This window comes from Homo sapiens, chromosome 1 (genome assembly GCF_000001405.40).
Source record: "Homo sapiens chromosome 1, GRCh38.p14 Primary Assembly".
Taxonomy (NCBI): domain Eukaryota; kingdom Metazoa; phylum Chordata; class Mammalia; order Primates; family Hominidae; genus Homo; species Homo sapiens.
This window is the reverse complement of record NC_000001.11, coordinates 143,974,012-144,001,969: the sequence shown is the minus strand read 5'-3', so window position 1 is coordinate 144,001,969 and position 27,958 is coordinate 143,974,012. Positions and strand designations below refer to the sequence as shown.

Here is a 27,958-nt window from a genome sequence, read left to right as displayed (position 1 = left end):
ACCTAATGCTTCAGTTTTCTCATATTTTAAATGGGATTACTAATTTCTGACCTGCTGGCCAGGTGAGATGGCTTATGCCTGTAATCCCAGCACTTTGGGAGGCCGAGGCTGGTGGATTACCTGAGATCAGTTCGAGACCAGCCTGGCTAACATGGCAAAACCCCATCTCTAGTAAAAATACAAACATTAGCCGGGCATGGTGGCACACACCTGTAATCCCAGCTACTTGGGAGGCTGAGGAAGGAGAATCACTTGAACCCAGGAGGTGGAGGTTGCAGTAAGCCAAGATCATGCCACTGTACTCCAGCCTGGGCAACAGAGTGAGACTCTGTCTCAAAAAATAATAATAATGATAATTTCTGACCTGCTTAGCTCACAGGATATTTAAGATCAGATGAGATATGAAATAAGACCCATTTTTAAAAGCACAAAATGCTAAGCAAATAGGAGGTAACTATAATTAGGTTGGTTCCACAATACTTGGGATCTCCCTGGCTATGTATTTTCTGGTGATCTTGAGAAGATTCTGTTTTATTTAATTGACGATGGTTCAAAATCTTTCCTCTGGAAAACCTTGACTGGAGTGTTCTTTCTACTTGCTTCAGACTATCTGCTTGCTCACCTCTCCACTATGTAAACGTAACTTACTGTGAGCGCCCAGGCCGTCTGGCTACTACAGATAAGCACCCCAGCCCGGGAGCACAGATGCTGAATGCAGCCGCCTGACCAGAATGCAGACACCAGGGCAGATACCATTCTGAAGCTGTGGACTCTTCCCTTTCTGGGGAAATCAGTGAGTTGATATTTTCTATGTTGCCACAGGGAGCTCTTTCTGGCAAAGGAAACGGAAAGAAAACGCAGGATCTCCTCACCAAAGCACAGAATGGGGAAAAACACCAAAGCCTGGGCAGTTGGGCAGTTAGGTACAAATCTACCAAGTGAGCAGACTTAACTAAAAGGGATTGTGATGATCTACTCCAACAATTTCATTTTTAAAATTAGGAAACGAGGCCGGGCATGATGACTTACATCTGTACTCCCGACACTTTGGGAGGCAGAGGCAGGTGGATTGCTCGAGGCCGGGAGTTCAAGACCAGCCTGCCCAACATGGCAAACCTCTGTCTCTACTAAAAATACAAAAATTACAAGAGCATGGTGACACACGCTTGTAATCCCAGCTACCGGGGTGGCTGAGGCACAAAAATCATTTGAACCTGGGAGGCAGAGGTTGCAGTGAGCTGAGATCACGCCATTGCACTCCAGCCTGGGCAACAGAACAAGACTCTGTCTAAAAAAAAAAAAAAAAAAATTAGAAAACTAATTATCAGAGAGGCCAAGAGTTCAAGGCTAAGCAAAATTGTTAAGTAGGTCAAACTGGAGGTGCTTCAACCTTTTGATTTTAGCCCCATATACCTGCTTACTTCCCCCAGAGTGCCCTCCCTCACTAAACTGGCATCTAGTAGTCTTAGACCCTTATCAAAACCTTGTAAAGAAACAAATGGAATCTCATACTAAAGTATAAATAAACAGCTAGTCTTTTGAGTGAGATACAATAAAAGAATGTTTTAAAGAGATAAAGCTACCAGTAGAAGAGATGTCTTCAGTCTATCCACCTTCAGGGACCTTGACAATAGCCCTAAAATCATACCCAATAGGTGGTTTTGTACCCAGCTGTTGGCAAATAGGGTACCAAAGCTTGAAACTCTTCCAGATTAGTTCAAGTGGGCTTACAAAGAAGTTCAAGTGGACCTGCAGAGTAGTGGGTCTTATCTCCAAGCCCGAGCTGTAAGTAGCAACACTATTCTTTAGAAAGGCATTACATATCTTGCATAAATGAGAATCAGAGCTCCCCATACAATACTGCCACTGCCACTCTTCCTTGCAAATGCTCCTTTTAAGTCCATACGTTAAGAATACCATTCTGGGCTGGGTATGGTGGCTCACGCCTGTAATCCCAGCACTCTGAGAGGCCGAGGCAAGCGGATCACGAGGTCAAGTGTTTGAGACCAGCCTGGCCAATATGGTGAAACCCCATCTCTACTAAAAAATACAAAAATTAGCCGAGCGTGGTGGCGGGCGCCTGTAGTCCCAGCTACTTGGGAGGCTGAGGCAGGAGAATTGCTTGAACCCGGGAGGTGGAGGTTGCAGTGAGCCGAGATCGCACCACTGCACTCCAGCCTGGGCGACAGAGCGAGACTCCGTCTCAAAAAAAAAAAAAAAAAAAAAAAAAAAAAAAAAAAAAAAAAAATACAGCTCCATGAAAGCAGGGACTTCCTCGGTCTTGTTAATAACTCTATCTCTAGCACCAGACCAGAGCCTGGTACATAGTAGGCATACATAATCATGTGTTGAGTACATGAATGAATTAGTGATTGAATGAATGAATTTTTTAAAATGCACTGAACTGAATGTCTCTGAAGACAGTGTAGGGCCCTCTGGTACCACAGAGGCTGTGTCATGGGTCATGCCAGTACTCACAAGAAATGTCAACGCTGGCATACACTTCACCAACAGGCAGATATATCTGTAAGATGCAGGGGTAAGTTCAAGTGCTTCCATGAGGCATTTCCGTAATTAATTATTAGCATTCATAGGCTAGATACCTATAATACCAACTTCAGCATCGATCTAAAGGAAACCTATTCATTTAAACTGACAAAAACATGCTGTCATTTTCATTTCCATTACAAAGCATGCCAATGCAGTAGAAACATTTTGATTGATTGAATGGCTTTCTCTCAATCTGCACGGCAACTGATCAGTTTACCAAGGGACAAATAGTTCAACAATTCAAGTCAAAAGCAGAGAAACCTTTTTTCTTTACTTATGAGGCATAAATCAGCTATTTAAAATATATAGAAATTACAAATACTTAAAATTATCTTCTGGGAGATCCTAAATAAGGTAAAATGTATGTGTGTGTGTGTGTGTATGTGTATATATATATCTCTCAACATGTAACCAGAAGAACTGCTGCAACTGCCTGTTGTAGACTGCCTCCACAGCCCAGTAAGTGATGTACCACTTCATCTCCATCAAGACCTTAATTCCTGCCCCTAGAGAATAAATGAGGTAACAAAACTGGAAGCACTTTGAGTCTCTAAAAGAAGCTATAGAAATCCTGAAAGAAGAAAAGACCAAGTACAAATAGAGTCTCTGAGAGGACAAAAAAAAAGTGTTGCATAAAAAGAGAGTCAAGGTGTTAATTGCTGAAGAGTCCTTCAGGTTGAAGAGAAGGATCCTTCACTATCCTGTATCCTGCAGCCCCTTCCTTCTTTTCAAGGAACTGCAGAGATTATGTCCGCCATTCCTATCAATTTGTTTATTCAGTGACCTTTTGACAGCCAAACTGCTAGGAGCTGCTCAGTTGCGGCACAGCCAAGCAGGCCTGCACAAGTTTCCACCACACCCAGGCTTCAGCTTGGTAGAAAATGAAAATGGTCAAGAGTTTTAATGAGTTGTTAATGATTTAAGTACTCACAGTGATATGCTTGCAAGATAAGACAAAAGGAACTTAGGAGCAGTGAAACCAAATCAAACCAATAATACATTCAACAGTGATGAATACAATTACACAACCTCTGCATACATTTAGGGAGCTTCCGAAACAGAATTTGGACTGGAACATCCCAAGGTCTAGCCTGCTTCCTCCACTCAGAAGCCCACCCATACCCTTGCTAAGAAAGTATTCTACTGTTTTCTTTAAACTCTCCTGGAATTCTATAGGCTTCCTTCATAATTTTACCTTATTGCTCCACAAAAACTTGGCTTCTAACGTCAACCCTACCTCTCATCTGCTTACTGAGGACAGGACGAAACTTGAGTTGTTCCCTGCAGACAAAAGTACAACGGTTGACACTAAAGATCACCTATTTGAAGTAAAACTGGTTTTAAGCAGGTTAATGAACCCCAGGCTTACAGGTTCTTGCACTTGGTATATTTCTCTAACACACCCCAACAAGATAAGAGATTGGAAAATGGCTCCTTTGGCTGGTTGAGAAGGAATGTCATCTTTTTTTTTTTTTTTTTTAAAGCGCTGATGGAATTACCCTGCTAGGGAACCAGCATGCATATGTCATTCCTTTGTACAGTATTTTTACAAGTATTTGATTTGTTTACCCTAATTTATCCAACTCGGGAATAAAAAGGAATCTCAGATCTATGAGAAGGACCTCCAATTTCTCATTCTCAGCTTCAAAACAAATTAGTCAGTTTAACATTAGTCAAGACACAGGTTGCTGTGAAATAAGAATGATTCTAGGTCATGATTAAGATGGTTCTCCAAACTATCAACAAGACTGTCTAATCACCTGTTATGAACCCAACACTGTTAAACAGCAATGGCATGTACAAAAGAAGTAGGAAATAAAGTTCCTGTCGTCCACACCTAACAATCTAGAGGCAGCCTTCAATTAATTTGCTGATAGGGTGTATTGCATAATAAGTTTTATATATTTGTTGTTTGAAGTTCAAACACATTTCGCCATAAAAGGCATGCTATCGTGTTTCAGTTCTCATGCTGGTAGAAAACTGTCTTAGCCTCTAATGTAATTGAGATATCAAGTACCGTATGTGAAATGAAACATGATATTAAAAACTGGTGTAACATTAGAAATATCTGACATGTATCTGGTGCTTTGTGAGCTTGAAAGAGTTCTTCATCTACATAAACTTCACATCATAGTGTATTATGTGATGATACACGGTCATATTGTCAACGGTTGAAGAAATTGAGGCACAGAAAGCCTAGAAGCTTATACAGAGTCACACAGCTACTAAGTGGCAGCAGACGCTCACGTTGGCCTTCCAACTCTAAATCCCGTTCTCTTTCCACTAGTGTAAAACTGAATAAGAAGCAGGTGTGAAGTGTTTTGTTTTGCTTTGTTTTTTAAGACTCATGGCTGAGAAAGAGGAAATTTTATCTGAGAAAGACAGGGAGGTAAGTGAAAACTTTTAGTGATTCAAAAGGAGGCTTAGGGGCACTTTTAGAAGCTTTCAAGGTTGACGAAGCTGGTGTTTATGGCTTTCATTTCACTTGGAGCCTCGTGGCCAGGCTTTTCCTCCTTTCAGATTTCTCACTGACTCTTTTCAAGTTCGACTGCCCTGATTAGAGTATGTTTTGTTTGGGATTTAACTCATGAATAGGAATACACCAACAGCAAAGAAGGGTTGGAACAGATTTCCTTGAGGTTACTGGACAAGCACTGGAAAAGAGAAGAGGAATGAGGAAGAGAAAAGTACAGATAAGATAAATTGCCTGAAGCAGAGTTAACTACACAGCAACCCTTGAAAGGAAGATACAGGGAAAAGGGGCTGAGGGAGGGTATTATTCTATGAAAGAGACATGGGACAGATATTGAGACAGCCCTCACCACTGTGCCATCAGGCCAGGGCAGCAGCAGCTGCAACTCAACTATGCGTAAATAGGTCTTTCCCTTATATGAAGGTCTACAGTTGAGAAGACATCTGTGAAATTAGCAGATGACGGCACAAATAATCCCACATATATGCCTTTCAAAAAATCTCTCTAACCGAGTAAAAATGCAAAGAATTTCATTCGTTCATTCATTCATCCAATACACATTTATTATATGCTAAGCACTCTGCTAGATGCTAGAAAACAACGATAAACAGAAACAGTCCCTGCTCTCAAAGAGCTCATAGCTTAGCAGACAAGAGATGTGTAAACAAATACGTGCAAAATAGTGTGATTGGTATGACCTCATTTTGTTAAATAGCGAGTACAGTATTGGCACAGTCATACTTCAAGCATGAACAGAGCCCAAGAGGTTCCCCAATGTGCTCAACTTGGCAGACTTGCTATTTATCATTTACCCATCCGTATTCAGAGGCTCGCACTCATGCTTAGGCCAAATCTCCATTATTAATCACATATTTACCAGCTAAGTCACTTTCCTAATGTCTACCCTACCCAAGTCACTGTTTTGTTTCTAAGAAGGAGGAAGGTGCGTGTTCATCTATCTCGCCCAAATTGTGTAAGGGCAACCTGAACTTGGGGCGGTGCAAAAGGGGTTCACTGTAACACGGCACGTCATTTCAAGTATGGCCCAGAAAGCAACAGGTGATTCACTTTAACAAACATACTTGAGCCTGTGTTATATAGGTCAAGTCTCATCAAAACAAACACCAAGAGATGGTCCACTTTCTTCTGTTGCAGCAAATAAAATCTTAATATATATTTGTTTGGGGTATGTAATTTGCAAAGCTGATACACAAGCATTACTTCATTTAGTCAACACAGCAACTCCTAGATGTAGGAATTATATGTTCATCCTATATCTGAAGAGGCTTGAGGCCAGGAGAGGTTAGAGACTTACCCAGGGCCACATAGTTGATGGCAAGGGTCAGAGCTACCACTGGTACCCAAGCCTCTGACCTCCAGCTGAGTGGTCTTTTTTCTACCAAACTGTGGCGTAAAACTCTCAAGCCAACTGTGGGTAATCTCTGTTACACAGAAAGAATTTATAAAGGAGGAGAGTAATAACTCCTATAGTCTCCTTGGATTGAACACATTGGATGAGAAGTACTCATAGGCCACTCTCCTCAAAATAGAAATAACACTAAAAATTCAAAGCCTTTGGAAGTGAGAATAGAATACATTAAGTTCAACTGCCAATATCTGAAATATAATTTCCTATAAATGGCTTTAGCCTGATCCCCTCTTTCAACATATCCTACAATCAAAATCTCCAATCAAATCCTCTATCAAAGCGCCATCTCCCCATTCCAAAGTTATTCAAATTAAGGAGATCAACCACTTCTGCCTCCACACCCCGAAACAGCACCAGCACCACCTAGTCATGTTTTGCTGAACTCAGCCTCTCCCACACTCCCCAGGCTGCCTTTAAAAGAACTTGTTCATTAGCTGGCTCTTCAGTCACCCATGGGAGGTCAGGTGGTGGAGGGTGCTGGCAGGGCTTGACTTGACTTTTCTTTCATTCCCAGCTGACCCTCATAAGGGGCCTCCAACCAAACTCGGAGCAAGGCAGCTCAGAACTCCAGTTTTCTCTCTCTTGTTTAGCTGTGCTCTTTCCCTACAGGGCACAGGGAAAGAAAATGCTATTAATTCCTGCACACAAACACGAAGCCCCTTCAAGGGAGAATATTTCTGAAAGTGAAAGGTAAGAAGCTGCAAAAGGAGGTCAGGTATTTGGCACGTAAAAGGGGTGTCATCTATTTCACAGTTTCTCTGCAACATTCCCAATTTAGAAGAAAAGAAAATGACAGATTTAATGAAAGGCGGATGGGGGTGGCATTGTCACTTGCCTAATGAAATTCCTGCTTGAATGGAACTGTCATCTCAAACTCAGGGTATCTAAAATAATTCTCATTCTCTCACCAACTGCTGCACCTCTTCCTGGCTTCCATATGTCTATTTCTGCCATTGCCACCATCGTTCTCCCTGTCTCCCAAACTAAAAACCTCAGGCATTCCTGACTCTTACTTCACCCCTAGGCCCCACACCCATCTCGGCAGCTCATCTTCCCATCTTAGTGGTATCTCCTGATTACAGTGTGGTCAAACATAAGATCCAAGATAAAAGAACCAGCAGGCTTTAGAGTTGGACAGACCTGAGCTGCAGTCCCCATTCCATCATGGGTCACCATCACCTCGGATCATCTGCCTGACTCAAATTTCTTGTTCAGTAAATGGGGACTCGCAATTCCCTCACAGGTGACTCCAGTAATTGATCACATTTAACAGCATGTTTGCAGCACCCACCACAAGGCCTGGTATGCTGTGTGGGCAGGAACAAGCCTCTTGCCCCCAGCCAGGCAACTCAGAGCAACCAGGGAGTCCCTCTGAAATGACTTCATCACACTTCATCACTCTTCAACTCAGAGTGCCCCCACTGTTCTTTGTTGCCCCAGTATGAAGCCAGACTCTGGCTGATCTTCAAGGTCATCAAAAACTATCCAGTTCGATCTTACTCCTCTGTCTATAACTCCTCTGCTCCAGACCAAGAGTCTACTCCCTCACTCAGCACACATTTATTGGGTGCCTACCACATGCAAACATGGTGCAGGAGGCTGGGAATGTTGAAATGACAGGCTGCCCACTGCCCACCCTCAAAGAACTCACAAGCTTTCTGGTAGTGAGTGTAGTCTGGGGGAAGGAGCGTGGGGGTGGGGGTGAGGGTGGATAAAACCATCATTGTATTAGGGTGTAGGAAGTGATGCAGGAGCGGTAAGCACGGTGGGGGCTGTGGGAACTCCACTGAGGGAAGACACACTGCCTCTGTTCTTTCCTCCTACTCTCGACTTAGCCAAATCCTAGTCCATAAATCAAGGTCTTATTCATTCTGGCCCACACCTCTCCCATCTCAAAATTCCTCAAGTTCTTATCAACACCACTCATTTTCAGTCATCTGCTGGCTGATGTCATTTCTTGTATTGCTGTGGGTTATTTTTTTTTTAACTACTTTCGTATAGGTAGGCTTTTTTTCTCCATGGTTTCTATGATCACAGACAATAAGGACTAGGCTCTAGACAGTTCTAAGTCTCTCACGGAAACTACATACTCATTATTTTGTGGAATAGTTGATATATTTGGAACTACTGACAACTGCAAAATAACACATTCCTTTCCCTTTGAAAAACAGGCACTTCCCTCGCTGCTAGGTTCTGAGTTCTGTGTTGTCTTACACTTTTCATCCAACCCAAGATGAGAGACGAAACCCTTGCTATCTCAAAAAACGATCCAAAATGTAATTTGTTTAAAAATGGTAGTTTTTAACTTTTAAAATTGTTCCATCTAAAAAGTTATTCAAATAAAATCTTAGCGGGACACCCAATATCGTGAACATAAAAGCAGAGCTATTCTGGTTGGAGCTGTGGGGACAGCCTAGTGCTGCTACCTCAAAGGGGAAAATATTTGACTCCCTCATCAGCAACCCCTGATGCACATCCAGTGGCAGCACCGCTACAGCATGATGGAGAACTCATCTTGCCCACAAATATGTATAATAAACTTAATGTATGTACAAATGAGACATTACAAATCAATGGGGAAAAAGATGAACCCTTTAATAAATATAGCCACATGGAATATAAAATAAAGTTAGATCCCTACCTCACGCTGTTCACGAAAATTTACTCCTTGTTTATTCAAGACGTTATGTGAAAGGCAAAATGTGTAGGTGAAAATATAGAAGAATATCCTTATGATTGTGTGTGTTTGTCTTTTAAATAAATCAAAACAGTAAAGAAAATTAATTTCTTTAACAAAAAGTAAATTTGACTATATTAAATTTGGAATTTCTTTCTTTTTTTTTTTTTTTTTTTTGAGACAGGGTCTCCTTCTGTCACCCAGACTAGGGTGCAGAGGCATGATCACGGCTCACTGCAGCCTTGGCCTCTAGAGCTCAAGTGATCCTCCCACCTCAGCCTCCTGAGTAGCTGGGATTATAGGAGTGCATCACCATGCCCAGCTAACTTATTTGTATTTTTGGTAGAGACAGAGTCTTAATATGTTGCTTCAGCTGGTCTCAAACTCCTGGACTCAAGTGATCCTCCCACCATGGCCTCCCAAAGTGCTGGGATTGCAGGTGTTAGCCACCATGCTTGGACTTGGAATTTCTTATATATCAAATAATTCAATTAAAAGTAAGATGATAAACTAAATCTGGGAGCAGGTATTGCAACCTATAATCGTCAACAATGAGTAAACAGAATATAAAAGGAACATCTACACATCAATTATTAGAAAAAGCAAGATGGCCTAAAAGAGTTGTCTCTAGATTGCAATTTAAGAACTACTCTGAGCCTGGGCATGGTGGCTCACGCCTGTAATCCCAGCACTTTGGGAGGCCAAGGTGGGAGGATCACTTGAGGTCAGGAGTTCAAGACCAGCCTGGCCAACACAGTGAAACCCCATCTCTACTGAAAATACAAAAATTGGCCCAGCGTGGTGGCACGCACCTGTAATCCCAGTTACTTGGGAGGAGGCCATATATTATCTCAGTTTATCTATACAACCACCCTGGGATGTAGGCAGAACATATATTATGCCAGTTTCTTGATAAGGAAATTGAGACAACTTAAATGATCAGTCCAAAGGGAGAGAAATATACATGTATCTTCCCTGGTAAGATGCAAAACCTACTTTTCTATCTTCTAATGTACAATCTTGCCATTACAAAAAACTACCTCCATCTTTTTTTTTTTGGAGACAGGATCTCCAAAATGTTGCCCAGGCTCATCTTGAACCCCTGGGCTCAAGAGATTCTCCTGCCTCAGCCTCCAGAGTAGCTGGGACTATAGGTACACATCACCATGCCTGGCTTATCTCTATTTTCTAAAAAATACCTGTATACACAAAAATCTATACATGAATGTTCAGAGCAGCTTCATTCATAACAGCCTAAAATAGGAAACAACCCATATGTCCGAACCATCATACATTCATACCATAGAATACTGCTCAGCAATAAAAAGGGATACACTATTGATATGCACAACAACCTGAATGAGTCTTCAGAGACTTGTGCTGAGTGAAAAAAAAAGGCCAATCCTAAAAAGCTACATGCTAATGGTTCCATTTTTATAATATTCTTGAAATGACAATATTATAAACATGGACAAGAGATTAGTGGTTGCCAGCAGTTAAGGACTAAGGACTAAAGTGGGGTGAGATGAAAGAGTGAACTGGGAGGGGCAGGACTAGAAAAGGACAACATGAGTGATCCTTGCAGTGATGGAACTGTTTAGAATTTTGACTGTATCAATGTCAAGGTCCTGATTATGATACTGTGTTATAGTTTTGCAAGATGTTAACCATCAGAGGAATCTAAGTAACAGGTATGTGCAATCTCTCTGCATTATTTCTTACAACTGCATGTGAATGCATAATTATCTCAAAATAAAATATTAAAAAAAAAAAAAAAAAAAAGGCCGGATATCATCCTGCCCTGTGTTGTACAATTCTGAGGTTAAATGAGATAAAGTATGGCAAGGCACTTCGACTGCCTTGTGCCCTGTAAATACTAGGTAACATCATCATCTTCCTCTATCAACCAGTCTCATCAGCATTACTCACTGTTAGACTATTCCTTATCCACAGAGCCTTCGATATCTCTCTACTATGACCCTATCACTGTACTTGTGTAATCCGATCACCCCTCTTGCTATTGTTTGAATGTCCCCTCCAAAACTCATGTTGAAACTTAATCCCCATGGTGGGGCCTTCAAGAGGTGACTGGATCATGAAGGCATGTCATCATGAATGGATTAATAGATTAATGGGTTATCTTGGCAGTGAAACTAGTGGCTTTTTAAGAAGAGGAAGAGGGACCCGAGCTGGCAAGTTTACACACTCAGCTCCCTCTCTATGTGATATCCTACGCCACCTTGGGACTCTGTGGAGAGTTCCCATCAGCAAGAAGGCCCTCACCAGATTCAGCCCTCAATCTTGGACTTCCCAGCCTCCAGAACCGGAAAAAAAAAATTGTTTCTTTGCAAATTACCCAGTTTCAGGCATTGTGTTATAATCAACAGAAAACGGACTAAGACATTTCTAATAGACTGCAGCTCCTTGAAGGCAGAAACTTTTTTCTGTATCTCTCTATGCCCACAGCTTAGCATAGTATAAAACATATAGGCCAGGTACGGTGGCTCTCGCCTATAATCCCAGCACTTTGGGAGGCTGAGGCAGGCGGATCATGAGGTCAGGAGTTCGAGACCAGCCTGAACAACATGGTGAAACCCTGTCTCTACTAAAAATTTAAAAATTAGCCAGGCGTGGTGGCACGTGCCTGTAATCCCAGCTACTCAGGAGGCTGAGGCAGGAGAATCACTTGAATCCGGGAGTCGGAGGTTGCAGTGAGCCAAGATAACATCACTGCACTCCAGCCTGAGTGACAGAGCAAGACTCTGCCTCAAAAAAAAAAAAAAGACAACATACAGTAGGTGCTAAATAAATGGCTGCCAGGTTGAAATTAGCTCATGATCTTCTTGTTCAATACAAAGTGTCCCAACACTGGAGGAAGTGAGGAGGGGAGGGGACAGGAAAGAAGAACACTCCAGTAGCTATAAGCCAACGCCTTGAAAGTTTCATCAATAGCCTCCTCCTTCCCAAGTTGCTGAGAACCCAAATGAAGCAAATGTCTGTATAGAGGGTGTGGCCACAGCAGCAAAAACATGAGTTCAATTCATCAAGTCTCTTCTTTAAACTATTTCAAGTTCTGCAAATGAAGGAACTGACCATTTATAGATTGGGTCACTGGAACAAGATGGAAAGGTGGGCTGTGGTATACTATTCTGGAAAGGATTTTAAAGGTTAGCTGACAGCCCTTTTCCTGAAATGATTAACACTGAAGAATTGTCCGAGGGCAGAATGTATTTAAATACTCTGTCAAGATCTCTCAGAGATCTGACACTCTCGGCCCAGGCAAACATATTTGGCTAGTGAGGTGGGGAGGGGGTTCCCATGCCCTGAAAACAATGCTAGCTCCTCACTCCTACTCCAAATAGTTTCAAGCATAAAAAAGTACAAGCAGTTGCTTTGCTGCTCCTAACGTTATCGGATAATTTTTCAAATTCTTACTCAATTACATATCACGCTCTTATCTTCAATCTCCACAGGCCAAATAGCCTTGCTTTCACATCGTGCCCACTAAGCCTGCAGAACACAAGTATCCCTCCCAAGTAATTCCAGCTCTCATAAACATGAGATCATTTTACATTAAGTTTTGTTAGAGTATTTGTGTGTATGGTGTTTGTGTGCGTGCGTGCACACGCGCATGCATAAGTGTGCATATGCCTTTTCTTCTAATAAGAGTAAGGAGATTTAACGCAAGAGAAGGTTAGAAACTTGGGAGGTTTCTGTCTCTGCTTAATGATTAACTCTTTTGCTACTGAATCCAGAAGAGCTGGCCTTTCTGGACTGGCAGTCCCACTCCCTGGCCAAAACAGCAAAAGAAAGCTCATACGCACACATTCACTCTTAGAAAGAAGTAACCAGCACAAATAGGTTTCAGCTTTGGCAGTGAGAACACTATTGCAGTTTTAAGGAGAATTAGGTGTTTCCATATTGTGTTGTTACTGGCCTTAAAATATCCAGATCAAGAACCTCATTAATCAAAGTAACACGTCATCTACCCAAAATGCTTCAATGTTTGATTTAAAATTGCTGACAGCAAAGAACTGAGATAACTTACATAACCACAAATCACTGAAAAAGAGAGATCAGGAGATACAGCACAACGGACTCTAAAAATGGCTAAAAACACAAAGCCTAATTAATGTCATTTAAAGATGAAACCTTTAAGAAGAAAACAAAGAAAAAAAAAAAGATGAAACCTTAAACCAGAAGTAGAAGAGGGGAGTAGGAAGAACCTGTGCTATCTATTCTCTGGTTTCTATCCTTCCCCCAGGACAATAATCAACATCTAGACTCTATGTGACAACTCACTTAACAATAGCCATTTTTTGTTCATATGTCCTAAAAATCATGAAGCTAGGAACTAGTAATCCATCTTTCCACTTTCCAGCTGAGAAGCTGAGAATCCCAAAGGTGGAATGACATCTTCAACATTACATAGCTGGTCCTCCATTACCCTACATTTCTTCCTCCCTATGAATGATATTTTTTAAATGCTGTAATGATAAAAATATGAGCTGTCATTATTATTAATAGTACTCATTTAAAACAACAGACTATTACTAGCCTATTCATTAGGCGAAAGGAAAACAAACATAAACATGAAAACATTTCAATTCCACATTACAGCATGCTTCATCACAATCCTCAAAGAAATCCTTAGTTGACAAAAGGCCTAATACATAAAGAGCAATGTAAGAGGCAAGAGGCCACTCCACATCCTAAAAGGGCCTGAAGTCACTTCCCGAACAACCCAGATGTCTAGATCAACCCTATACCAGTTCCATAACCACACTGCCTCCCCCAGGTTTGTCCCAGACCAGATGTCAGAGATTAAGAGCCTCCCACTTCCTTATTTCTTTAATTTTCATTAAGGACAATCAATCAACTTCCTTTTTCTTTTAAATTTAAGTACTGCACACAACAACATAAATATCTGTAATACTAACAGTTACACAAATTCCATTTCTGACCTACCAACATGGATGGGGAAAACCATACAAACCAGTTACAGCAGGGAATTTTCTAACTCTAGAAGTCTCTGAGCTTACTGGAAGTCCAAAGTTTAATAGTTATCCTGATTAAAACATCCTGATTAAAGTGATCCAGTCACAAGTTCACCTGTAGGCCCATCAAGTAACTCTCTCTCCCCTCGATTTTTCTCCAGCTGTGAGGCACATCTTCCTATTAGATCATGATACTTCAACAAGTATCACTTCAACTGCTCTCCAGGCCAGCTGCCACTCTGGTACTACCTACCACCTGGGGCCTACCCTCCATAAGTGTGCAGCAGCCATGCAGGCATGGCAAGTTCTGGGGGTGGAAAGAATGTCATTCAGAGAATATAATGGTTTTTGTACTTCAAAGTGTGTCTACTTAAAAGGGACAAATCATCATCTTCAACATCTTTTTTGTTGTTTGTTTTTGAGACGGAGTCTTGCTCTGTCACCTAGGCTGGAGTGCAATGGTGCGATCTGGGCTCACTGCAACCTCCGCATCCCAGGTTCAAGCAATTCTCCTGCCTCAGGCTCCCAAGTAGCTAAGATAAATTACAGGCGCCCGCCACCATGCCCAGCTAATTTTTGTATTTTTAATAGAGACGGGGTTTCACCATGTTGGCCAGGCTGGTCTTGAACTCCTGACCTTAGGTGATCCGCCTGCCTCGGCCTCCCAAAGTGCTGGGATTACAGGCTTGAGCCACCCAGCCAGGCCGATCTTCAACGTATTAATAAGCAAAAATAATGAACCCTGAAAGCTGGAAGGACCTAGGAAAGTTTCTAATGTTTAACCCCTAGTATTTTAGATGAGAATACCAAGGCATAGGGAGGTACGGTAGGTATGTAACAGAAAGACATTTAAAACACTGCATTAATTCTTTATTGTACCAAGTTACTAGGAAATGAGGACAATCAACTGAGTGTGTACAGCATCTCATAGTTTCAACTGAATTCTTTCATTTCAGCTTCACACCAGTGTTAAGTCAGCTTGGGTTCATAATCTGTCCTCATCACTTACTAGCCATGTGCTTCAGAGCAAGTTATTTAACCTCACTGTGCGTCATCTGTAAAATGGGGATAATAATAGCAGCTACCTCACAGGACTGTTGAGAAATTCATGAGTTCATATACGTAAAGCACCTAAAACAGAGCTGAGACATAAGAAGCACTTGATAAACGCTAACCATCATCATCATCATTATTATAAGGGCCAAGAATTGTTGTTCCCATCTTACAGGGATTTTATAGGGAAACTAGGGATTTTGAGACCTTAGGTGAGTTATCTCCAAAATCATGGGAGCCAATGACAAAGCTAAACTAGAACCCAAGCTTTCTGCCTCCCAATCCAGCACTTTCCCTTAGGATCATTCTGCCTGTGTAGAATCCTGTAGCTCAACGCGTAACAAAGTACTGTATTGGCCCAAAAGAAATGTTGCTCCAGAATAGGTACCTCAGTCAAGATGTCTTCCCAGAGAGCAGCTTACTCATCTGACAAGCTCTGGTGCAGTATCTCCACCGCCTACCAAAATAATAAACACACGCACACACAAAATCTAATGGGGAAAGGAAGCAGATTTCTAAGGGATTTCAATGTTTGGAGAAGAGTTGGCAACAGCCAACTCTTCAGAAACAAGACATATTTCTTAAAGCTTATGGCATGGCTTGTCATGGCCAGCTCATGCTCTTAAGTCCCTTTGTTTTCTGTGCTTTGTCCTCCTGTGGAGCCCTGGCCACCCAGCCACCCATGGCTGCCAGGGTCATCTTCTCCAGGGAGAGTATTCAGATCCTGCCCACCATGCCATGATTCTAAATGCAAGATCTGGGCTCAAACAGCAAAGATAAGGTCCCAACTTTCACAGTGATTTCTGGGTCACCTCTCCACTGATTAATGCATTTAGAAGATATGGTTAAGAAAAACAAACAAACAAACAAACAAACAAACAAAAAAAACAAAGAGAATATGCCTTCTTCCTAAAGGATGATATCCTAAAATATACACCAAAATGGAGGAACATGTCCCAACTGTTTTTCCTTCCTCACGAATACATATTTCAAGTTCAGAACCATTCATTCACAACGTATAAATAAGGTCAAGGCTATTTCATACCAAATGACTTGAAAAACCATAAGGGACCATTTTCCTGCTTGTTCCTTAGGACCTCTCCTTCCCCATTTACCAAAGATCTCACAGCTGCTTCTAACCAGGCAATAGCTCTCTCCACACCGTGCTTTGAAAAAGGAACAAAACAGTTCCTTTTTCAGGTCAACCCAGTTTTAACTCCAGGTCAAGACAGACAAACTTTCTCAAACTTAGACTTTTAGTGCCTGATTAAAATGGTGAATAAATCCTGGACAAATGTACAATGTGTTTTTGCTTCAATTACAGAAAGCCTTATGTTTGTTTTAAACTCTCGGGAATTTCAGTGTTAACATTTTTCTTGGTTTCCAAGGTGAGAGATGTGACTGAAGAAATTTGGTCAAAGCAAGTATAGCTCTAGGGCAGTGACTCTAAAGAGGGCAGTGATTCTAAAGAGGGCTGTGCCAGCAATAAATTTAAGGAGAAACACACCCCCGTGGGGGAGGATCCATAAGGCTATGTAGTTTGTACTTGTCCTTGTATAATGCAAATATATTCACAAAGTTTAATCTATATCAAATTTCAAATAATATTAACATAGGGCATGGGTTTCTTACTGGAGTCGGGGAGAAATGCAGAAGCGTGCCATCATGGCACTATCACATCCAAACTCAACTCAGAAGACAGTTCAATTCAACTTATAAACATTGTAGTGCTTACTATGTGTCAGGAGCTGGACATGCAGAAATGAATAAAAGACCATTCTTTCCTGAAGGTGCTCAGTGAGTTGTAAACAAAGAGATGTAAATGAAGAGATCGCAATGTAATATGATGAGTGCAATAATACAAGAGTGTACAAAGACACTGCAGAGGAGATGCTGAGAGCGTACTGAGGAACTCTGTGCAGAAGGCAAGGGGAGATGCTGAGGAATCCTGCTTGGGATCCCGCACAGGGGAGCAGGGAAGGCTTCCTGGAGGGGTGGCATCTGAGCTGCTTTAAAGGATGAATAAGTTTTACAGGTTCAAGGAAGAGGACCCATTCCAAAGAGAGGGCACAGCATGGATACAGCACAAACCATGACACAACATGATAAAGAAAGGAAACTAGAGGCAGTTCAGCTGTAAGGCAGTATAAAATGTAAGCAGGGTAAGTGGGAAGTGATTAATATTAACAGTCTTTTATGCTACGATGTTAGCAAAAAAAAAATGAGTTTTTAAAAATCACTCTGGTGACATTGTGCAAGATACAGTGTCAAGATACAATTAAACTATTTCTAAAAGATTATTTGTAGTAGTTAGGTCATCCATTCATTCAGTACTACAGACAATAAGTGTTTACTGAGAGCCACCATTTGAGCTACAATAGTCTTCCAGACACGTTTCCTATCTGAAGGGACCTTATAATAAGCTATTTATTTAGCATTTAATATTTGCCATACACTGAGCCAGTACTCTTAACACAACTGCAATTAATAGCAAGGCAGGTCTCATTATCTCCACATCACAGAAAAGGAGGCTTGGAAGAGAAGTTGAGTGACTTCAGCAAGGTCACACAGCAAGGAGGTGATGCTGACAAGACTCCAACTGAGGGCTGGTTCCAGAGCCTGTATTCTTTGCATTGCACTACACAACTTCAAAACATTCCTACATTCAGAAGTCTGGTAGAAGAAAAAAGAATGAAATACAAATATTCCAAACATAAGGCAGTATGAGATCAATGCCATATGAGATCTATTAAGAGAAGCACTATGTGGGTGAAATAGAGAGAAGGGTTATTTCTGGTCAGAGCAATTAAGGAAGGAATCCCAGAAACGTTGGGCTTTACCAGAAAGGTGAGATTTCTTTCTTTCTTTTCTTTTTTTTTTTTTTTTTTTTGAGATGGAGTTTCACTCTTGTTGCCCAGGCTGGAGTGCAAGGGCACGATCTCGGCTCACAGCAAACTCCAACTCCTGGGTTCCAGCCATTCTCCTGCCTCAGCCTCCCAAGTAGCTGGGATTACGGGCAAGTGCCACCACCCTCAGCTAATTCTACATTGTAAGTAGAGACAGCGTTTCACCATGTTGGTCAGGCTGGTCTCGAACTCCCGACCTCAGGTGATCCACTGCCCCCAGCAGGATGAGATTTCAATAGGTGAAGATACGGGACTGCGCAGCGAAAAAGGGGCATTTCATGAGCAACACGTAGAACTTAGACTCTGGCGACAACCAAGGTTCCTATTCCATTATTCACCAGCTGCAGACCCTGGAGAAATAACTGAATGTCCTACACCTCACTTTTTTCATCAGTAAAATGGGATACTAGTAACATCTTTTTCCTAAAGTTGGAGTAAGGATTATGGAATAATCTATATAAAGTATTTAGCATAATGCTTAGTAAGTGGTAAACATCCAACAGACAGCAAATGTTAGCTAGTAGTCTGTTTAAAGAATGGTAAGCAGTCAAGTTAGGCTTCCAGTCCTCTTAAAGCAAAATAAGAAATGTGGTCGAAACAATAGTTTGCAGTCAGATTGAGAATGAAGTTCATGTCTACCTTAGAAAGTTGGTCTGTATTTAGCAGGCAATAGGGAGTCAATCATTAGAAGAAAGAAGCCATATTAAGAACATTCTGAGTAGATCTCCAGTGGGAGCCCCTAGCCCCTCTCCTTGACATCTGGCTTATTTGTGACCCCTTCTAAAAAGGCATGAGGCCCTAGGACTAGTTCAGGCCAGATCTATTTTTTCATTTGCTTGTTTTTTGTTTTTGAGATGGAGGCTTGCTCTGTCACCCAGGCTAGAGTGCAGTGGCATGATCTCGGCTCACTGCAACCTCTGCCTCCTGGATTCAAGCGATTCTCCTCCCTCAGCCTCCTGAGTAGCTGGGATTACAGGCACCCACCACCACGCCCAGCTAATTTTTGTATTTTTGTAGAGATGAGGTTTTGGCATGTTGGCCAGGCTGGTCTCGAACTCCTGACCTCAGGTGATCCATCTGCCTCGGCCTCTCAAAGTGCTGGGATTACAGATGTAAGCCACCACACCCAGCCAAGCCAACTCTATATGGAAACAGACACTGTCATTTGTCCACTCCTAACATGGCCATGATTTTTTTTCTTTTCTTTCTCACTCCATCCTGTACCTTCCCTCCTAAAAGCAGAGTAATGGCTGAGACACAATTATTAGCCTGACTTCCCTTGGAGATTGTCTTGGTTAAACAAATTTTCCAGAAACTAATCTGGGTAGCTTAGATCATTATTTATTTGTTACTTTTTAAAATTTGTTAATACCAGGCTTTCACTTAGTTATCTTGAAGTTAATGCCTCTTCTATAACATAATTATTAGCTCTATCACCTAGGCTAGACTGCAATGGTGCAATCAATCATGGCTCCCTGCAATCTCGAACTCCTGGGCTCAAGCAATTCTCCTGCTTCATCATCCTAAGAGAGCCTAGGACTACAGGTATGTGCCATCACACCCAGATAATTTTTTTTTGAAATGGAGTCTCGCTCTTGTTGCCCAGGCTGCAGTGCAATGGTGAGATCTCAGCTCATTGCAACCTCTGCCTCCCAGGTTCAAGTGATTCTTGTGCCTCAGCCTCCCGTATAGCTGGGATTACAGGTGCCTGCCACCACACCCGGCTAATTTTTTTATTTTTAGTAGAGACAGAGTTTCACCATATTGGCCAGGCTGGTCTTAAACTCCTGACCTCAGGTGATCTGCCCACCTCCCAAAATCCTGGGATTACAGGCGTAAGCCACCGTGCCCAGCCAGGTTTTTGTTTTTTGTTTTTTTTTCTTGCAAAGATGGGGTCCCACTATGTTTCCCAGTTTGGTCTTGAACTCCTGGGCTCAAGCAATCCTCCCACCTTGGCCTCCCAAAGTGCTGGAATTACAGATATGAGCCACTGTGCCTGGCCAATAGTACTGGTTTATTAATACATTATAATGAAGAAACTTTGGGGGTAATGATTACATTCACTATCTTGATTGTGCTGGTTTCATGGGTATTATATATGTCAAAGCCTATCAAATTGTATACCTTAAATATGTGCAATTTATTAAATGTCAATTAAATCTCAATAAAGCTATTAAAAATATGGTAAAAGTTTAGTAATTCATGTAATTATTAAAAGGTGTACAACTTTATAATTAATAATATACTAATATACAAGCTAATGCACATATTAAAACCTTAAATTTAAAAAATTTATCAGGACAAGTGATTATATAGAAATGTATATACAGGCTTGTAAAACTTTGGTATAGTGTACCTTTTAAAAAAAAAATAACCAGCCTGGGCAATGTAGGGAGACTTCATCTCTACAAAAAATTTTAAAACTAGCTGGGTGTGGTGGCATGTGCCTATAGCCCCAGCTACTTCGGAGGCTGAGGTGGGAGGATCACTTCAGCCCAGGAGGTCAAGGCTGCGGTGAGCCATGATCAAGCCACTGCAATCCAGCCTGGGTGACAGAGTGAGACCCCATCTGAAAAAAAAAAAAAAGAAAAGAAAAAAGAACACCCCTATGTTACACCTATGTTCACAGCAGCATTATTCAAAATAGGCAAAAGGTGGAAACAACCCAAGTGTTCATCAATGAACGAATGGGTAAACAAAATGGGGTATATACATACAATTAAATATTATTCAACCTTAAAAAAGAAAGAAATTTGGACATATGCTACAACATGGATGAACTTTGAGGACATTATAGGAAGTGAAATAAGCCAGTAACAAAAAATATATACAATATGATTCCACTTACCTGCAGTATCTGGAGTTATCAAATAGAGACAAAGTACAATGGTGCTTGCCAGAGACAGGGGCAGGAGGGAATAGGGAGCTGTTGTTTAATGGGTATAAAGTTTCAGTTTTGCAAGATGAAAAGAGTCATTTAGATGGATGGTAGTGATGGCTGCACAACAATGTGAATGTACTTAATGCTACTGAACTGTACTCTAGAATGGTTAAGATGGTCAACCTCCTGTGTATTCTACCACAATTAGAGAGAGTAAGGGAGATATGAGAGTTCCTACACATTATTGTAAAATCAGTAAGGGTGTTAATTTTGTAATTTTTTAAAATGTTTTTAAGTGCTGTTATTACTTATGTTTAAACCTAACAACTTCCAAGGCAACTTTCCCAGATTCCCCAAAAAGTCAATTCTGGAGCTGACACCAGGTTAAAACTGCTAATTTTATTACTACCAGAAATCTACATATCAACTGCTTTTTCCCTGCAATATGACATATTTTCCTAATGTAGCTGTCAGAGGTCAAGGGTATAAGGTAAGCACAATTCCCATGAAGCATTCTCACTTCTGGAAGGACAACTCTACAGGTGCCACTGGGTAGCCCAGTTTATCTGGAGTGAATAATGGGAGTCAGGGTCTGGGTACCTGCTGATTTTAATAGTGAGGGCGCCTACATACTGCAGCCAGGTCCATCTCTGGACACCTCATAGCAGAGAAATCATCAGAGCCTGTCTAAGTTTTCAACCTGCATGATACATAACGGATGTGGCCACAATTACCAGATAGGCTTCTTCAAAGGAAATTTCTGTTCTCATTCCCCAAGAACACCTGAAATTGAAAAAGCTAAGGACCCCTCATGAACACTGTTTCCAACTACTGCTTCTTTGCACAGTACACTGCATCCCCTGGCTCCTTGCCTACCATGTTCCTCTAGGGTCTTTCAATTGCAAGATGCAGAGTATGGTACTTGAAAGTTTCCAAGAGTTTCATTTTCTTCCAGGAGTTCACCTTACTGCTGCAGAGTAGCTTTTTTTGTTGTTGTTTTTTCCCCTGAGCAAGGGACAGGAGCCCTCAATCATCTTGCAGGAAAATGATAGCATCTGCTTGAGGATTCCAACTAAATGTTTTACTGCAGCTTTTCAAACTGACTATATTTAACTGATTATATTTAAAACTGATTAACTGATTATATTTAAAGCTCCCTTGGGGAATGGGAGCTGTGAGGAAAGAAGCTTTGGAGAAGACCTTTGTTGGCATGAATGAAAAATTGCTCAGACCTCCCAAGGGAAAGAGCTTGTTTATATACCAGCCATCAACATTCCCAAGTATATATACATACACAATACGACTCCAGTTTTAAATTTCATCTCCTGCTCTTGAAGGGTCCTGAAAGGGTTAAACTGTTCCAAGCAAAGGCCTGCACTTTTTCTATCAAAATGCTCCAGATGGAAATTACAAAATTTCGCTTCCAGCTCTGTGGTGCACACACACTGTTCTCCTAAGACATTAAAAAAAAAAAAAAAAGACAAGACCCCTAATGTTCTCGAGAAAGAAAATGTGACTGCTCAGCATAGAGTGCCACCCTGTTTCAGACTATTTCTTCTGGAATATTTGCATGAACTGTCAATCTCAAGCTTTCTGGGAGACTGTAAAAACTCAAGGTATAGAGAGGGTAAAGGAAAGGGGCCTTAAATAAGGAAAGAACAATAGCTGGGACTGTATACAGTCATGTGTATTCACCCAAATACCACCCAGATTCACAACCCTGGTAACCATGCCCTGCACCTTACCACCTTCGCTGCTCCAATCCCAGCAACAAGCTAACAGGCTAGAGGCCAAAGGCTTCAGTTTATGACCATGAATCTGACCAGGGTTGTAAAGAATTTCCAGAGATTAATGTACATCAGCCCTCCCCATACCTGCAGGTTCCATATCTGCAGATTCAACCAAATGGGAATGGAAAATATTCAAGAAAAAAAAAAAACAATAAAAATACCAATACAACAATTTAAAATAATACAAATTTTAAAAGCAGTATAACAACTATTTACATAGCATTTACACTGTATTAGGTATTATAAGTAATCTAGAGATGATTTAAAGTATACAGAAGGATGTGTGTACATAGGTTATATGTAAATACCACACCATTATTTATCAGGGACTTGAGCATCTGCAGATTTTGGTATCCTGGGGGAAGTGGGGGTAGTCCTTGAACCAATCCCCTGAGGATACTGACGGACAACTACATATGAAAGCATAATGTAAATTGGAAAGAGCTATGTAAAAAGACTAAGAATATTATTGCTTTCAAGTCAGACATTGAGAGGCATGAACTTTCCAAGGAATGTGGGCACCCACAAACCTGAAACAATGATGGTTTTTAAGAAGACACTACAAGGCAGGCTGACTAAGGAGGCACACCCCTCATAAAACCACTCTGGGGTAGGGTTGGGGCTGAAGCCTCAGGAGTTCCTCAGGGCACATGCAAGCAGGTGGTTTATAGGGAGGCAAAAATCAAGGGATAGGTAGGGTCCCAGAAAGTCCCATGAGATGAGGGTCCCATTTAGAGTCCATTTGACTCAAACAATTCTGATTGAAAAAACAGGACCTGGGACTCTGGTCAAAGACAGGCTGAACCACAGTGGCCAATAATTAGTTTACTTGTTCACTGACAGAAAAAGAAACTGATGTCCAGAGGGTTTAAGTGACTGACCCAAGATGTTTTGTTACGACTAAATGATCTTAAGCTAGAACTTAAGTTTCATTCCTTACTTATTTCCTATCATTTAATAGCTGGCACTTTGGGAGTGAATATGCAATGCAGCCTCAATAGTCAGCCCAATTCAGCAAAAGAAAGGCTCACAGAGAAGTAGACCGTACCATTATTGAGCACTTACAAGTGCAAGATACTGTTCTAAATAATTTATATATCTCATCAACAACTCACTACTATCTTAGGAAATGTATTTTATTTTACCCATTTTCCAAATAAGGAAACTGAGGCTCAGACAAGTCATGTAACTTGCCTGAAGTGAAAGGCTAGCTACTGGCAGAACCAAGATTTAAACCTGAATCACTTTGACTCTAAAAATTGCACTTAACAACCAAACCAAACTGCATAGCTGTTACAGCAATTTTCTTTTTATCTTGGCATCTGTAAGAGAAGTAAGTCTGGCAGCACCATGAGTCCCATATAACACACAAAAAGCTGACACTCATAATAATTCTGACCCAGGGCTTCTAGCTAGTGGGGGGCAGAGCCAAACCAGATCGCAGGCCCTTTGTCTCCCAATTCTGTGCTGTTCCATAGAGAGCCCAGCTTCCAGAATATAAGCTCCACGAGGGTAGAGACTTTTTCTTCTTCACAGCTGTATGGCCAATCGCCAGAACACACAGCAAGCACTCAATAAATAGTTAATGAATAAAGGAATGAAGTCAAGCTGCCATGGTTTGGCTGTGTGACCTTGGAAGGGCTTCTCATCCTCTCTAAGCCTCAGTTTCCTTATATGGTGAATGGAAGGTGACAATAATACCCATTTCCTGGGTTGAGGTAAGGATTAAACCAGACCATTCATTTAAAGCACTTGGGATGGACTGGAACATAATGAGCAACCAAAATGTAATCTATTATCATTATCATTATTACTATCATTATTCATTGACAGATTTGGGCTCCTTAAGAATTTTTTATTTTTTTCCACCCTGGTCAGATGATGTTTCATAGTAAAGATACAGAATAGAGAATTGAGAGTTGGTAAATCTGCTTCTAGTTTCAGATCTGCCACCATCTAGCCGTGTGACCTTGGACAAGCCTCTTCAGTTCTCTGTATTCTCCTCAGTTGTAAAATGAAGGACTAAACTATTCAAATCAGTTCCATAAGCATTCATCAGGCACCTTCTCGGAGTAAGACATCATGCTCAGCCACCTATAAAATTCTATGATCCTGAATAGTATCAATGGGAAAATATCAGAGCAAAGCAAAATAGTCTGTTTGTGGCAAGGTTGAAGAGAGAACCCAAATAGCCGACTGCATTACCTCATCTCAATGAGCAATGTTTGTAAATATCCAAAGTGTTTAATTTTGAGACACTCTTGAGAAATCCTTTGCCAATAAGAAATTGGCAGATATGGTTCTATTAACACCTATCAGCCTTGAACCTTCCAAAAATTAAACATTTAAAGTCACTTTGCACCTTAGTCAAATGGCGTGCTTCTGGAGAGAAATCTGGGAAGATCAAAGTTATTAACACTCCCGATGGCAACAGTTTAAGAATAGGATGTGTTAAAAAAAAAAAAAAAAAAAAAAAGACATATCTGGTTAAAACTGCAGGGGGGATTCCAAGAGCAAATGCAATGCATCTGGACAGGACATGGAGGCCAGTGGCCTATTGTTTACAAAAACAGGCCTGGATTATGAACAGTGACAAGAGGCCAAGACCTCAATAATAACTCACAACCACACCTCTCTCAATCCCAGTTCAACTGAAGCTATCAATCAGTCAACTCCCCCATCTCTGTAATAAACCTACCAATATTTGCAGCCAAGTGGATAGAAGGCCCCTTAGGGCACCTCCAGCACTGACCAAACTAATGACATAAAAAAGATCCTGTAGGTACAATGAGGACTTCAGACTACCTTCCAACCTTCCAAGAGATAAGGGAGCTGCCCATTTCAAACTCTACGCCTACCCCCACCCCCCAGCAATCATTAGAGGGGAGCCATGGCCCTTCCCAAGTCCTCTCTGATAGGAAAAGGTCTCCTTGCACTGGTGCAGGGAAAGGAGGGGCCCCTCCCTCTGTACTCTGAAACAAAGGAAAACCCAGAGCTCCAACCATGTGGTGTAACATTCAAGGCCACCCACCTCTTCCACTCCCCAGCTAAGGTCTCAATGGGCTGGAGCCACATGGCTCTTTCCAGTGACTGACCAGGAAGGGACAGTGCCTTGCACAAACACATGCTGCAGCTCTTTAACAGGCAGGAACCCTTCCTATGGGAATTGCTGGTTTAAAAAACGCTATCTGAGTAAGGGCTCTTATTCATGAGTCAAGTCAGTCGACTAGATGAGAAGACAGGTCACTTGGTTTCTCCTAGTCCACATTTTGCTTTACCCTTCACATTTTTCAGGAGAGGGAAATGGGGCTTTAAAAGCATGTCTTCCGGAGCAGAGGGCCACAGCACAGAAGGGTTAAACAATTATGTCTTCCCATTTTCCAGAATCAGCACCAACCGGCTACCCTAACATCCTCCCAACTCTATTCAGATTTAGGTGAGGGCGGAGACCGGGCGTGGGTGGCCTTATTCTCTGATCTCTGATTGTATGCAGGCCGACCAGAGACCAGGCAGGTACAAGGTACACCCAAGGTGGCAATGGACTTTTGGTGCCAATGCCATTGCAAATCTCATGTTTTAATATAGTGCATCCAAAAAACCCCGCCTCTCCCAAGGCTCTCCAAATGGTACACCTTCCCAAGGTTGCCTTTCTGTCTGGACTCCTCTTCAATCTCTGAAACAAATGTCCAAACACCTGTCAGATTTCAGTTGTCTTTCAAGGAAACCTGACCCAGAGAACCGGAGGCAAACTGCCTTTCTCTAAGAGCCTCCTGCCCCTCCCCCCACCCTGCCCGGCTTGGGGGGAAAGGGCTGCCAAAATCATGGTCAGCCCCACAAAGATACTCCTACAGCCCACTGCAAAAATTCCTTTCCAGTGTCAATGGCCCCCTGGCATTGCCCATCCTTTGGAGGTTCAGACCCATCTATGAAACCACCTCTGGGGTCAGCCTGCCCCCATCTGCTCCACCCAAAGAAATGAACAACCTGCAAATCACGGTGGAAATACACGCCTCACCAGTCCACAGAGCATTTGCAGTGTGCTATTTTTCAAAACCCTTACCTTTGACCTGAGTATCGTACTCTGCTATGATCTCCTTATCCTTTTTGAATTTGGCTGGAGACGTCATGTTTTCCTTCTTTCTTCCAAATTCGAATTGTGAATTGATAGATCCACGGAAAAAATCCAACCACTTAAATCAATACCTCCAAGACCGCTTCTCTCGAGGGCAGAAGGGGCCCCCCACGGTGGTCTCCAGCGCTCCGTGGAGCGCGGGCTGCGGGCTGGGCAGACGGCTACGGCGGGCACATGCAGACGGTGGGCGCTGAGGCCGGGTGCGGCGGCGGCTGGTGCCTGTGCTAGAGCCGGAGCCGCAGCCTCAGCATTAGCCGGGAGAACTGCAGCGCCCGGAGGCTGGCCTGGGGTCTGACATCAACGACACAGGCGGGGAGTGGAAGTCCTTCCGCACAACATGGTGTGGGGCTGCGGGGGTGTGGACGCGCCCAGCTGTGTCCCCGGGAGGGAGTGGGTGCTTTTCGGGGTGCCGGGGGAGGGCTGGGCGTGCTTCGCGGTTTTTTTGTCGTAGAGGCTCAAAGATGCTGCAAATCAAATCCCAAACGGGAGCTGCAACAGCGCAGACTGGATCGGAAGTCGTTTGCTCCGGTTCACTTGCCTGTAAATGCAGGAAAAGGGGGAGGGGGCGATCAGCCAGAGCGCAGATCCTAATCGCGGCGGGGGTGGGGTAGGGGACGTCGTTCCGAGCCCGCCCTGGGCCCATTCCTGTCCGCTTAACGTCTCCCCGCCCGCAGAGCCTGGCGCTACGAGGTGGGGAGGAAGGAAGCTCCCTCCGGATTTTAAGGCTGAAAGAAAACACTTTGGAGCAGCCGCCTGCGCGGGCTCCGGGCGGGGACTGCAGGAACGCGGGGCACCGGGCGGGGAATGCGGCACCTCGGCGGCCTCCTGAGCCCCGCCAGCGCTGGGCAGCGGCCAGCCCCAGGGAGCCCTCCCGACCTAGCCCCCGACGTGGCCCCAGACCCCCGGCCGGGGCACCTCCCTGTACATCAAAGGGGATCAAAGCCGGGGAGGGACAAGCCACCAGGGCACAACTTTTCTTCCTCTCCCGCCCCTCCTCCCAGTTGTTTTGTTTTTGGTTACTAGCTTCTCTTGGCAGCAAAATGTTGATGGTGGGGGGGCAAATCTGCAGG

At 42.5% G+C, this 27,958-nt stretch overlaps 1 pseudogene across 1 annotated transcript in view; it reads right to left on the bottom strand.

Annotated features, from left to right (window-relative positions):
* SRGAP2D (SLIT-ROBO Rho GTPase activating protein 2D (pseudogene)) overlaps positions 1–27,958 on the bottom strand; it is a 97,066-nt pseudogene that overhangs the window by 67,735 nt on the left and 1,373 nt on the right. Inside the window, exon 2 of the transcript NR_120535.1 lies at positions 26,817–27,426. The product of NR_120535.1 is annotated as an SLIT-ROBO Rho GTPase activating protein 2D (pseudogene) (transcript). The remainder of the gene's footprint in view (positions 1–26,816; positions 27,427–27,958) is intronic.